The 13,956-nt window shown below is 43.7% G+C and overlaps 1 protein-coding gene across 2 annotated transcripts in view, besides 1 other annotated feature; it reads right to left on the reverse strand.

Annotated features, from left to right (window-relative positions):
* Nucleotides 4,203-4,355: a silencer, noted in NCBI's record as "fragment chrX:54091510-54091662 (GRCh37/hg19 assembly coordinates)". NCBI's record gives its function as "represses an EF-1alpha promoter that drives an FKBP-Casp9 reporter gene in an ReSE screen in K562 erythroleukemia cells {active_cell/tissue: K562}" and the evidence as "EXISTENCE:reporter gene assay evidence [ECO:0000049][PMID:32094911]".
* The window catches only part of FAM120C (family with sequence similarity 120 member C), a 114,931-nt gene continuing 108,424 nt past the window's right edge, over nt 7,450-13,956 (reverse strand). For both annotated transcript variants that reach the window (NM_001300788.2, NM_017848.6), the window contains one exon: nt 7,450-12,413. In NM_001300788.2, the coding sequence (NP_001287717.1) occupies nt 12,350-12,413 (64 nt within the window). In that variant the 3' untranslated portion in view covers nt 7,450-12,349. The remainder of the gene's footprint in view (nt 12,414-13,956) is intronic.

The raw sequence follows: 13,956 nt of genomic DNA on the forward strand, positions 1-13,956 counted from the left end.
GTGCACCAAAATCTCACAAATCACCACTAAAGAACTTATGTAACCAAACACTACCTGTTCCCCAATAACCTACGGAAATTAAAAAATTTAAAAAAAATTAAAAAAACAAAAAGGAATGGTTTTGAGAAAAAAAAATTATTAAATACAGGTGGGGTGTGGTGGCTGATGCCTGTAATCTCAGAACTTTGGGGAGCTGAGGCGGGAGGATCACTTGAGCCCAGGAGTTTGAGACCAGTCTGGGCAACATGGTGAGACCCCGTCTTTACAGAAAATAAAAAAATTAGCCAGCCATGGTGGGTGGTTTCTGTATTCCCAGCTACTCGGGAGGCTGAGGTGGGAGGATCACCTGAGTGCAGGGAGGTCGAGGCTGCAGTGAGCCATGATCGTGCCTCTGCACTCGTCTGGGTGACAGAGTGAGACCCTACCTCAAAAAAAAAAAAAATAGTAATGTCTCACGCCTATAATCTCACCACTTTGGGAGGCCAAGGTAGGAGGATCACTTGAGGCCAGGAGTTTGATACCAGTCTGGGCAACATACAGAGACCCTGTCTCTACAAAATCAACAAACAAATAATTTTTTTAAAAAAAAGCCTATCATTTGGAGCTACCTGGGTAAGGCATGGGCCAATTTAAATTTCCTTCTTTGTATTTCTTTTTTGTTTTTGTTTTTGTTTTTTTGAGACAGAGTCTTGCTCTGTCGCCCAGGATGGAGTGCAGTGGCATGATCTCGGCTCAGTGCAAGCTCCGCCTCCCAGGTTCACGCCATTCTCCTGCCTCAGCCTCCCAAGTAGCTGGGACTACAGGTGCCTGCCACCACGCCTGGCTAATTTTTTGTATTTTTAGTAGAGATGGGGTTTCACCGTGTTAGCCAGGATGGTCTCCATCTCCTGACCTCATGAACCGCCTGCCTCAGCCTCCCAAAGTGCTGGGATTACGGGTGTGAGCCACCCGGCCGCTCTTTTTTTTTTTTTTTTTTTTGAGACGGAGTCTGGCTCTGTCACTCAGGCTGGAGTGCAGTGGCGCCATCTCAGCTCACTACAACCTCCGCCTCCTGGGTTTAAGTGATTGACCTGCCTCAGCATCCCAAGTAACTGGGATTACAGGCAGGTGCCACCACGCTTGGCTAATTTTTGTATTTTTGGTAGAGACGGGGTTTCACCATGTGGACCAGGCTGGTCTTGAACTCTTGACCTCAGGCTATCCACCTGCCTTGGACTCCCAAAGGGCTGGGATTACAGTCATGAACCACCACGTCTGGCCTCTTCTTTGTATTTCTATATTGAAAAACAACTAGTGGATGTTATAAATCATGAAAAGATAAATGAAAAAGATTTCTGAGGTATTCTGATATGCAGCCAGGCTTGAGTGGCACTGACACGGGGCATAGGTTATAAACTGGTGAAGACTTACAGCTATCCAGATTGAGACTCAACTAGGGTACTGCTTATTTTACTGTATTTGTTTATTTCAGAGACACAGTCTTGCTCTTGTCACCCAGGCTGGAGTGCAGTGGAGCTATCATGGCTCACTACAGCCTCGACCTCCTGGGCTCAAGCGATCCTCCCACCTCAGTCTCCCGAGTAGAACTACAGGTGTGCACCACCACACCCAGCTTCTTCTTCTTTTTTTTTTGTAGAGGATGAGGTCTCACTATGTTGCCCAGGCTAGTCTTGAACTCCTGGCCTCGAGCAAGCCTCCTGCCTCAGCCTCCCAAAGTGCTGGGATTACAGGCATGAGCAACCATGACAGCCTGTTATACTTTAATGTGCATATGAATTATACAGGAATCTTGTTAAAATGCAGATTCTGGCCGGGCGTGGTGGCTCACGCCTGTAATCCCAACACTTTGGGAGTCCGAGGTGGGCAGATCACGAGGCCAGGAGATCAAGACCATCCTGGCTAACACGGTGAAACCCCGTCTCTACTAAAAATACAAAAAATTAGCCAGGCGTGGTGGCAGGCACCTGTAGTCCCAGCTACTTGAGAGGCTGAGGCAGGAGAGTGGCGTGAACCTGGGAGGTGGAGCTTGCAGTAAGCCGAGATCGTGCCACTGCACTCCAGCCTGGGTGACAGAGAGAGACTCTGTCTCAAAAAAAAAAAAAAAAAAATGCAGATTCTGACTGAGTAGATCTCAGGTAGGGCCCAATAGTCTGCATTTTTTTTTTTGAGACAGAATCTCACTCTGTCACCCAGGCTGGAGTGCAGTGGTGCGATCTTGGCTCACTGCAACCTCTGCCTCCCGGGTTCAAGCGATTCTCATGCTTCAGCCTCCTGAGTAGCTGGGATTACAGTCATGCGCCACCACGCCTGACTAATTTTTTTGTAGTTTTAGTAGAGACAGGGTTTCACTATGTTGGCCAGGGTGGTCTTGAACTCCTGACCTCAAGTGATCCGCCCGCCTCGGCCTCCCAAAGTGTTGGGATTATGGGTGTGAACCACCATGCCCGGCCAATAGTCTGCATTTCTGTTAGGTTTCCAGGTGATGCTAATGTTGCTGAACCACTTATCACATTTTGAATGGCAGGAAAAAAGAAGAAGAGGAAGAAGTAAGATGGGGAGGAGCCATGAAAATGAAGAGGGGCAGATATGAGACACTGCAGAAGCAGAATGTTTGAGCTTGTGGATGAGGAAAGAATCTGGGATGACTGAGGTTTGTGGCTTGGGTGACTATGAGGATAATGGTGACATTAATCAGAGATAAGGGAATCAAGCTGGAGGAGGATGGGGTATAGGAAACAATGGAGAGGTAGGAATGAGACATCACATTTAAGTTTGGGCACAGTGGCTCACGCCTGTAATCCCAGCATTTTATGAGGCTGAGGCAGGTGGATCACTTGAGGTCATTAGTTCAAGACCCAGCCTGGCCAACATGGTGAAACCCCGTCTCTACTAAAAATACAAAATTAGCCAGGCGTGGTGGTGGGCGCCTGTAGTCCCAGGTACTCAAGCGGCTGAGGCACGAGAATCGCTTGAACCCGGGAGGCGGAGGTTGCAATGAGCTGAGATCATGCCACCGCCCTCCAGCCTGGGTAATAGAGCAAGACTGTGTCTCAAAATAAAAATAAAATGAAATCAAGATGCTGATTACCTCTGGGGAAGGTAAAGAGATGGGATCATTATTAGGTTAGGCGGTGGGTTTGAGTGTTCATTTTATTATTGAATTTCATAATGTATGTTACATATATCCTTTTGTATTTATCAAATATTACATATATTTTTAGGTAGTCCAAAAGTTAAGAGAAACAAGAGAGAAGTGTCAGGGAAGTCAGAGTTTCAGTAAATGGGTTGTTTTGCAGCATCATATTGGTATGGAAGACCTCAGCAAGATAAGGCCTGTAGGGAAACCCTGAACTTCATGACAGAGCACACAGGTCACCTTTGGAAGCAGCCACATTCAGATGGGGAGGGCTGATGTCAGATTATAGAATGGGAAGGAATGTGGGAAGTCAGGACTGGGAGTGTACGTAAGTCTTTCATCTACTACCATTTCTTCCCTAACCCACAACAGCTAACATTTATCTAGGCTGTAGTACATGCCAGGCCCTTTGCGTACACATTTAATCCTCACAACCACCCCACAGGGTGGGCTACAGGGACTAAGCTCAGTGCTTGTATTACCACCAGATTATGTTCACCTCCGACCACATGCAGAGAACCCCTACTGAAACACCGAAACGGGAATGAATGTTTAGCTATTACATTCCAAATTTTAGACTGAAGGTCTCAAATGGTTAAGTAATGGGTACCAACCAAAAGTGAATTAAGTCAACCAGAAATGGACCATTTCTTCCTGTGATGCTGTCATTGTGACTCACCAAATTTAACCAGTTTTATCGCCATTCAGGCACATAGTACAATTGTTCTTTTCCACCTCTATAAAATTAGCTGCAACCACGTGGCTTGCTTTGGGCAATGAAAAGAGAGAAGTGATCTGTGACACTCTAAGCTTTAAGGGCCAAGGTATATTTTGGTCATATGCCTTCCCCTGACTCAGTGATGGAACTTTTCTTACTTAACATATTGATGCTCTACACATTCAGAGAAACTTCTCTAGTAACGAACTATGGAAATGATCCTTGAAAGTAGACTCTTGGTGGCCAGGCGCGGTGGCTCACGCCTGTAATCCTAGTAGTTTGGGAGGCTGAGGCCGGAGGATTACCTGAGTTCAGGAGTTCAAGACCAGCCTGGTCAACATGGTGAAACCCCGTCTCTACTGAAAAATACAAAATTAGCTGGGTGTGGTGGCACACGCCTGTAATCCCAGCTAACTCAGGAGGCTAAGGCAGGAGAATCACTTGAACCTGGGGGGCAGAGGTTGCAGTGAGCCGAGATCATGCCATTGCACTGCACTCCAGCCTGGGCAAAAAAAGAGCGAAACTCCAACTCAAAAAAAAAAAAAAAAGTAGAGTCTTGGTGATGAAATTTTTCTTTTTTCTTTTTTTTTTTTTTTTTTTGAGACGGAGTCTCGCTCTGTCGCCCAGGCTGGAGTGCAGTGGCGGGATCTCGGCTCACTGCAAGCTCCGCCTCCCGGGTTCACGCCATTCTCCTGCCTCAGCCTCCCAAGTAGCTGGGACTACAGGCGCCCGCCACTACGCCCGGCTAATTTTTTGTATTTTTAGTAGAGACGGGGTTTCACCGTTTTAGCCGGGATGGTCTCGATCTCCTGACCTCGTGATCTGCCCGCCTCGGCCTCCCAAAGTGCTGGGATTACAGGCGTGAGCCACCGCGCCCGGCCCTTTTTTTTTTTTTTGAGACAGAGTTTCGCTCTTGTTGCCCAGGCTGCAGTGCAATGGCGTGATCTCGGCTCACTGCAACCTCTGCCTCCCAGGTTGAAGTGATTCTCCTGCCTCACCCTCCCTAGTAGCTGGGATTACAGGCATGTGCCACCATACCGGGCTAATTCTGTATTTTTAGTAGAGACAGGGTTTCTCCATGTTGGTCAGGCTAGTCTCGAACTCCCGACCTCAGGTGATCTGCCTGCCTCAGCCTCCCAAAGGGCTGGGATTACAGGTGTGAGCCACCGTGCCCGGCAGTAATGGAATTTCTATTAGTCTATTAGTGTCCACCAGTCACCATGCATGAACAGAGTTCTGCTGTCAATCCCAGTTGGACATATGAGCAATAAGTATACTTTTGTTAAATTACTGAGATTTGGGGGTTATAATTGCAGCAAAACCTAGCCTATCCTGACTGATACATTCTCCTTTTCTCAAGTTAGAAATTATACATGTATAAGGACTGAATAATGAAAATATACATAAAGTGTCTAGAACTCTCTCCTGTGCACATTGTAGGCCCTCAATAGATGCCTTTGTGTATCTGCTATTAAATTATTACGGAATTTTCATATTTTTCACATGCAATAAAGGCTAGTTTTGGAAGATGTAAACAGAAGGCAGTGTTCCAGGCTCACATTATTCCTAATGCTTGTATTCTTAAAAGAGATATTTTCATTCTTCGTAACTTTCTCCCTCAACTCCATGAAAAAGCACTACAATTGGCCCTGCTTAGGTCACCTACCCCTCCATCCCCGTGCTGGGGGAGATGAAGCCACATGACTGATGGTCAACCCAACTCTACCCCAAGATAGATGGCCACTTCCCCCAAAGGAGAAAACTGGGCTTAATTGCCAGAATAAGGAAGGAATGCTGGGGAGGCAGAAATGAGTTATCGAAGTCAAAACAGGCTTAGGTTTAGAACCCGGAGTTTATTACTTATTAGCTGTGTGTGAACTTGGGCACCACTCAATCAGTTTGCTCATATGTAAAGTAGGGATCGTACTTTGGAGAGTTGTTTAAGGATAAGAAATAATGTATGAGAGTTTAGTACTATGCCTGGTACCTAATAGGTCTGCAATAAATTCATTTTAAAAAGCCAGATGCTAAATATTTCCTTCTATTAACTTTTCACAGTCCCAACACTCAAAGATCAAAGGCCAGGAAAAGACATCTGTAGCTATAATGAACCCATATAAGACAAAAGATGTTACAAATAATTTTTCATTTAAGGATAAAGTGTTTACAAGCTTCAGCAGGCCTCTAGTGCTCACCTTGAGGCTCAGCTGTTTCCTTTTAGAATCTGTACACACAAGGCACAAAGTGGTTAGAGAGGCCAAGCCCAGCTAGAGTCACTCAGCAGAAGCAGTAAAGAATGCCCTAGAGTCCTGGCTTCAGACTCTGCTCAAAGCATCCCTCTATTGCTCAAAGGTGACTCAGAGCTCAATTTTAAAACACATTTAAGTGAATACCATCCAGGGCTGAAACCTCATACTCAATCTTCCTGAGTTTTTGCCACCATATCCTCTGCCTTCAAAGTCTGAAATCTGCTTTGTACCAAAGGACTTATTCAAAAGTGTTTTAGCTGTTCTTGACTTATTCATCAAACATTTACTAAGTGTGTGCTGTGCAGTAGGTGCCAAGAACACAGAGATGGTTAAGCACAGTCACTGCTCACAAGTGTAATCTAGGGGCAAAGATGCAGCAAAGCACTAGAGGGGCTGGCTGTGATGAGTCTATACTCATCACCGAATTGGGGATCAGAAAAAGAATCATAAAGACACGAGCTGAATCTTGGGGCAATAAGTTAAGTCTGCACCAGAAACAAAGGGAGAAAGGAATTTTAGCAATGGTACAAGCAAGTGAGAAGAAATGGATATTGACAGCTCAATGTGTATGGGATGCATTTTATTATGGCTGGAGTACGGAGGTAGTAAATGAGCTGAGATGTGGTCAGGTGCCAGATCATGAAGGGACCGTGGAGTCAGGGGAGCAGCATGTTAGAGGGACACTTTAGAAGCTACTAAGCATGGTGGATTAAAGCAATGGTTCTTAACATCCTTTTGTGTCACAGATTCCTTTAAGAACCTGAAAAAAGGTATGGGCCCTTTCACTGGAAAAAGGTACATACACTTAGACATAAAATGTTGCTTAAAATTGCCCAGTTAAGGAGTAAGACGGGGAGCAACTGCAACAGTCCAAGTAAGACACGATGAGGCCTCCACTAAGCCACAGGAGCCAGGACAGAAATGAGGAAACAGATGTGAGAAATAGAAAAATGGTTGGGTGTTATCAACAGATGTTTTCATCAACTGGATTTGAGAAGTGAGGGACAAGTCTAAGACAGTTCACTCCCAGGTCAGTCTGTGGTTTAGGCAATTGAGTAGAAAGTAGTGTCACTGATGGAGAGGCACAGGCTTGCACAGAAAGGATGGGTTCAGTTTGGGAAATGTCAAGACAAAGGTGCCTTTAGGACATTCAAATAAAGAAGTTAACTAGGAGGCTAAATATGCTCTACCTTTTGATGATTCTTGTACTTGGTCTCTTGCCCTGATATTACACAAACAGACTCCTAAATCTCTGTGCAACACTTCTGAATTGAGACAAGTATATCCCCCATTTGCAGAAAGGGATCCAGAGATGGGAAAAGAAATCAAACTTCGCACACCCAAAATTATTTCACAATTTTTTTTACTAAAAGAATAGATTTTTATTAAGCGTTGTAAGTTTCTTTCCATCAGCATTAACAGAACAACAGACCAATTTCCATCACAGAACAACTCCTGAGGCATTCTCATTCCTTTCTGAAACTCTTCCATTAACTCCTGAAGTTTCCCCAAAGAAGCATCCATTCAAACTTACATTAATAAACTATGGAGCTTTTGTGGTGAGGTGGGCCAAAAAGGCAGGGAATTTGGAATCTGGGAGTGGGAAAGAGAAATACATATTATCCATCCACTAAACACACTGTCAAAAGCACAGGAGAGGAGATAGTAATACAGGAAAAAAACAATGAAATAATTTTTTACTTTTGTCAATAACATCATTTATCAGGGAGCACTAAAAGTCACTGACTCCTTGCAGTTAAAGTTTCTTTACCTAGTGTGTTATTCTAAAAACAGAATAGAACAGAATAGAACAGAATAGAATAGAATAGAATAGAATAGAATAGAATAGAATAGAATAGAATAGAATAGAAGGTAGGAGGGGAAGTGCTTTCTGGGAAGCAATTAAAATGAAGTCATCAGATTTGGCTGGGTTATGAGAGATTAATAAAATCTGAAATATTTATTTTGCTTCATTTACATGAAAATTCACTAGTCATTAGTTACTACCAACACGGACAAAAAGAGCATCTATAAAAGTACAGGGGCAATGTCAAAAGCTGAAATGGGCACCCTAGCACAGGGGATTTTTTTATTTTGCTTTTAACTTGGAAAAGATGATTTTGTAAAAAATGACTTTATATTCTTAGAACATCAAAATAACCTCTGACAATATTCAAGATAATTAGCAGTAACAGGGGAATAGGTGCACTGAGCTCTCTACCTGCACCAGCAGACTACTGCAATAAGCCAAGGGAAAAGAAAATAGAAAGTCGAGTAAGATGCCAAAGTCACAGGATGGAGAAAAATATAAGATGACACGCAATGGAACAGTGAAAACTCAACCCCCCACCCCACACCCCAAGCATATTTAGGAAATATGCACCAGGAAGTGAACAAGTATAATGATTAAACCTTAGTAGAATTATACTAACTACTTTAAACTGTGGTCTACTTGTACTGACTTTTCAAAGGTGGGTGGGTCGTAGAGGCTGTAATGGTAACATTGACATGCCCACAGGAGCCTTGTAAGGTTCCAAAGGACTGGATCACCATAACCAAACAGCTACCCCCACATTCTTTCTATCCTACATAAGCATTCCTGCCCCCCACCCTCTACCTTAACCACCCTCTGTAATGCCTTGTTCGACTGTTTTTCTCAGTGATCAAAAAAAGTTAATGTGACTTGGCCAATGATGTCAGAAATCAAGATGGAGACAAAAATCAAATGTCACTAGCCAAAGCGAGTACCAATTCTTGGGCTTTAAAGTCTACCCAAAGTCCTACTGGCTCAGAATGAAAATGATGCAAGTGAGCAGAAGTTTGTCAGGCCTGGTCCAGACCAGACTGGACTGGTCACTGACTAAGTAAGAGTAGGAGTTATAAGCTGATCCCAAGACACACCAGCAGAAATAAAAAACTGCAAGTCCTTGGGGATCAGTGACTATACACAACCAGTGTTTTGCTTATGGTCCTACAATGTAAAGGGGTCATTTCTGGGGGTTCCCAAATGACTTTGTTCAAGAGAGGTCACATAAAAGCTAGAAATGGAACCTCAGGTGAAGGATGACAGTCTCTTCAAGTGGTGAAGCAAAGATCAGACCCCACCTTCCACAATTTGTCCTCCAATTAGAAAAAGTTCATCTCCCTGTAATGAACCTTAGTTTTCCTGGCTTTTAAGTTGTGTATTTTGTCAGATAAATAAAAATCTAGGAATATGGCCATTTATGGTTCCTTCTTGTAACCTTCCAAACCCAAAATGCTGAATCCAAATAAAAATCAAGGTTGGAGATGACCCACTTGTTTCACCCTGGGCTAGGGGAAAAAGAGGTTGTGGAAGGAAGAAAAGCCGTTTGGCAAACTGGAATCATACCTGCCAAAGCAGCAATTTTACCTCTCACAGTGAATGCCTACAAAATAAGAAATTTTCTTAATGGTGTGAGAGTTAACAATACTGTCATTTGATTGTGTCAGATAGATTCAAGATGCACAGAAATAGCAACTGCAAAAAATATCTTAGCAATTTTAAGTCCAAGTGCTTCCTATTAGAAAATGGAGATATAGGTATCTCACAGCTCAGTGATACTGGTTGCTTTTAGAGCTCCAAAGGATTCATCCCTCTGTGGCTCCAGAAAGAAAATTCCAAGCCATGTAAATTTACTACTATCCCTTCCTTTGCTGGATATAGAAGTCCTACCTTCAAGACGTTGTGAAAGGTTGGGCAGGTCCAAGAGAAGGGGGACCACATTAAGGGAGCTGATTCCAAAGAGGAGGTTTTTCTATACTTTGTTTCTACTTCTGTCTGGTTAGATGTACACTCTTGTCATTTTTCTTTGGTTTATGTAAGAAGTATCTGGGCAGGGGTCAAGGCATTGCAGGGCTCCCTCCCCCTGAAAATCATGGATTCTCTTAATCTGGGACAGATTAGGACTAAATAGTCTGACACTGTTTTCAATTTCCTATGATCTGGTCATTGTAAGTGGGCAGTAAGCAAATAGCCTTCTGGTTGTCTGGGCAAAAATCACCAAGGACCTGCTGTGGGTTAAGGTGCATGGGGTTTTTCAAAAAGAACCCTGCTAGAAGATTAGTCAGTTGTATTTCTGTAGAAATGGTACTTCTTGGGCAAGAATATCACAAAGCCCAAAAGGAGGTATATGAGGCTGGAAGCCTCAATTCCTGAATGAAGACACAATGCTAATTTATTGCAAGCCATGTTTCCCTCCCTCATAGTTAGGCTGCCCAAGGAGGGAAACTGGAAATGCAAGGTTGTCTCAAGATTATCTCCAGCAAGGAGGAATAGCCTCTTTATCCTGGGCAGATCCTGGCCACACAGGAGGCTGAGAATCTTTTAATAGAATTCTTCTCAAGGCCCAGGCCAGAGTCCTCTAAAGTCTTCCTTGCAAAGCAAATGAAAAGATCCAGTAGTCAGAATGTCAATGAACAAATGAAACAATCTAGGCGTGTAAAATCAAATAGTTTCCTCACACTTCCCTACCCTATCTTTCCAAAGCTAGTCCTCTCTCCTTCAGGGATTCATGTCAATCAATTCTAGCCTGAAACCAATTTGACCCTGGAGTTCCAGAAGAGATTTCCTCCAAATTGGCTGAAAGCCCTTTCAAATGGTAGTCACCTCCCATCCCCCCTTTTCTCTCCAAACCTTCATAAGGAAATGCCCAACTCTTCCCAATCCCATTCCAACCTCCTGTTTTCACCATATGGGATGTGAGGGCTCTGTTCAAGATTAAGCTTGTAACAACCCAAGAGTTTATTGTTCTGAACAGGCAATTTCTGGAAAGTACTTTTTGTCTGATTTAGAGAAGCCCATCCAACTTCTCATAGTTGTGAATGCACTGTGACTTAGTAAGAATTTCAGATTAAAAGTGTGGTCTTTTGAAACCTTCCACTCCATAGCAGTGGAAGCATTTCTGGGAAATTGAGTAAATCCTCTGGGACATCACCATGTATGTATGTATGTATGTATGTATGTATGTATGTGTGTATATATGTGTGTATATATATATACACACATATATACACACATACACACACACTTACATATATATAAAATATGTATAGATAAATAGATCTGTCTCTTTATATAAAGGGTATGTGTATGCATATACACACATTCATATATACACCCACCCACACAACATCCACCCACACCCACACACAAGCACACATTCACACACACACACACACACACACACACACACACACACACACAGTCTCTTGAGTCCCTTTCGTACTCAAGTTCATTACACTGATTCCCACCCTTTCATGGTGTGGGCAATAGGGAGTGAATGAACTGTGCCACATCTTCTATTTTACAAACAATGCACTGGTTGAGAGGCAGGAAAAATCTGCCCAGTACTTTTCTGATTCACTTGAATCCCCCAGTACAAAGGCCATTGATAGTTTTTTTGAAGTGTATAAAATAAAAAATAAAAATTAAAATAACCAATACTACCTTACTTTTCTGAAAACATCTACCTATCTGATTGTCAGGCCAAAGCTAGAGGTGGTGGTACAAAATCCAGGGGTAGGTAAGTTGGAAGGAGTGAAGAAGAGGTAGATACCACTTCATAGAGAAAAAAAAAAAACAAAAAAAAACCTCAGGAGGCCACAGCTGTCCCCACAACCTCATAGGTTTATCATATAAGTCTTTGATAATGAGTATCATTATAAATGCTCAGAAAAACCAAAGCTAGAGCTTTTCTATAGGACCTTATGTGATGATACCCAATTTCTGACAGCTACTGCCTTACTAGGCTCCCAGAGGAGATAAATAAACTATTGGTGCTATATCTTCAATTTGAGACTAGGACCTAGTCTTACTGCCATTCATCTTTGACCAGAACTTCTCCAGAAACAGACCACTGAATCTGAAGTCCCAGAAACAGGCAGGGAAGGGGAAAAGATGGACACAATAGGACATCCCACCAAAATCCTGGAGAAATCTAGGGTAAGCATTTATATCCTCCTCTAGCTTGGGCCTAAAATCAGAAAAGTAAAAGTTTTTCCCTCTTCCTGGTTTGGTGAAGCCATCTTCAGCTTATCAGTCCTCTTTCCGTTGTGCCACAGTTTCTAGCTTTTGCTCTTGTAAGTGGTTCTTCTCCCTATTATTCATAGGGAGGTAGCGGTTACCATTATTACACTCATTGCTGTCTCTGGATAAGGCACATTGTGATGGAGCTGGAAGACGATGATCACTCTTCTCTTCCTTGATCAATGCGCCACTGTTTCCATTTACCTGGGAGCGAGACCGACCTTGATGAAGCTCCAGGGATTTAGAAACTCCATCTGAAGAGCCCTGTTAAAAACAGAGATACTCAGTGGAAATGGGAATCCCAGACTGGCTGACCCTTCCTAAGCATATTCATAAGCTAGCCTGAGGAAGCGGCTTCAGTTCTTCAAAAACACCAGAAGACCTCAAGCTGGTTGACAACTAGTACAATCTTTTTTTTTTTTTTTAAGACGGAGTCTCGCTCTGTCGCCCAGGCTGGGGTGTAGTCTGCAATCTCGGCTCACTGTAACCTCTGTCTCCAAGGTTCAAGCAATCCTCCCACCTCAGCCTCCTGAGAGTAGCTGGGATTACAGGCGCCCACCACCATGCCTAGCTAATTTCTGTATTTTTAGTAGAGATGGGGTTTCCTCATGTTGGCCAGCCTGGTGTCGAACTCCTGGCCTCAACTGATCTGCCCGCCTGAGCCTCCCAAAGTGCTGGGATTACAGGTGTGAGCCACCACACCCAGCCGGATACCTAGTACATTCTGATATTATCTTGAGAAGTTAGGGTGAAAACATATAGACCCAAATGAAATCCAATGGCAATGACAACACAATAATGACACAGCTTTTTCTTTTTTTATACAGGGTCTTGCTCTGTCACCCAGAGTGGAGTGGAGTGCTGCGATCCTGGCTCACTGCAGCCATGACCTCCTGGGCTCAAGCCATCTTCCCACCTCAGCCCCCCAAGTAGCTGGGACTACAGGCGTGCACCACCACATCCAGCTGATTTTTGTATTTTTTGTAGAGACAGGGTTTCACCATGTTGGCCACACTGGTCTTGAACTCCTGAGCTCAGGTGAACTGCCTGCCTCAGCCTCCCAAAGTGCTGGGATTATGGGTGTGAGCCACCGCACCTGGCTGACACTGCTACTATTTACAAAGCTTTACAATATGTTTTTCTAATACTATGGGGATCCTAAATGGTAGATATGATCATGCCCCATTTGCTGATGAGGAAGGTGAGGCTCAGAAATATTAAAGCAACTTGCTCAAGGAGACACAGATACAAAGTCATAGGGCCAGGATTCTACTCCTCTAAAGTCTGTTCTCTTAACTGCCATGCAACACTGCCCAACGCTGACAATTGAACAGGCAAATGCAAGAAAAGGAAAAAAAACACAGAAGATCTATGTGCAATATTCCACAGAATCTTTCTTTTCTTTTCTTTTTGAGACAGAGTTTCACTCTTGTTGCCCAGGCTGGAGTGCAATGGCACGAACTCGGCTCACCGCAACCTCCGCCTCCTGGATTCAAGCAATTCTCCTGCCTCAGCCTCCCGAGTAGCTGGGATTACAGGCATGTGCCACCATGCCCGGCTAATTTTGTTTTTTAGTAGAGACGGGATTTCTCCATGTTGGTCAGGCTGGTCTCGAATTCCCGACCTCAGGTGATCCACCCGCCTCAGCTCCCAAAGTGCTGGTATTATAGGCGTGAGCCACAGAATCTTTCATAACTAAAAACAATCACCTGGTTTTTGTAAATCCCAGGAATATGGTAGCTACTGCTAATGATATGAACTACATTACCTTGTAGTGCAGTGCTGGCTCTTAATGAATGGTGCTAGG

The sequence above is a fragment of the Homo sapiens genome, chromosome X (assembly GCF_000001405.40).
Source record: "Homo sapiens chromosome X, GRCh38.p14 Primary Assembly".
NCBI classification, from domain to species: Eukaryota; Metazoa; Chordata; class Mammalia; order Primates; family Hominidae; genus Homo; species Homo sapiens.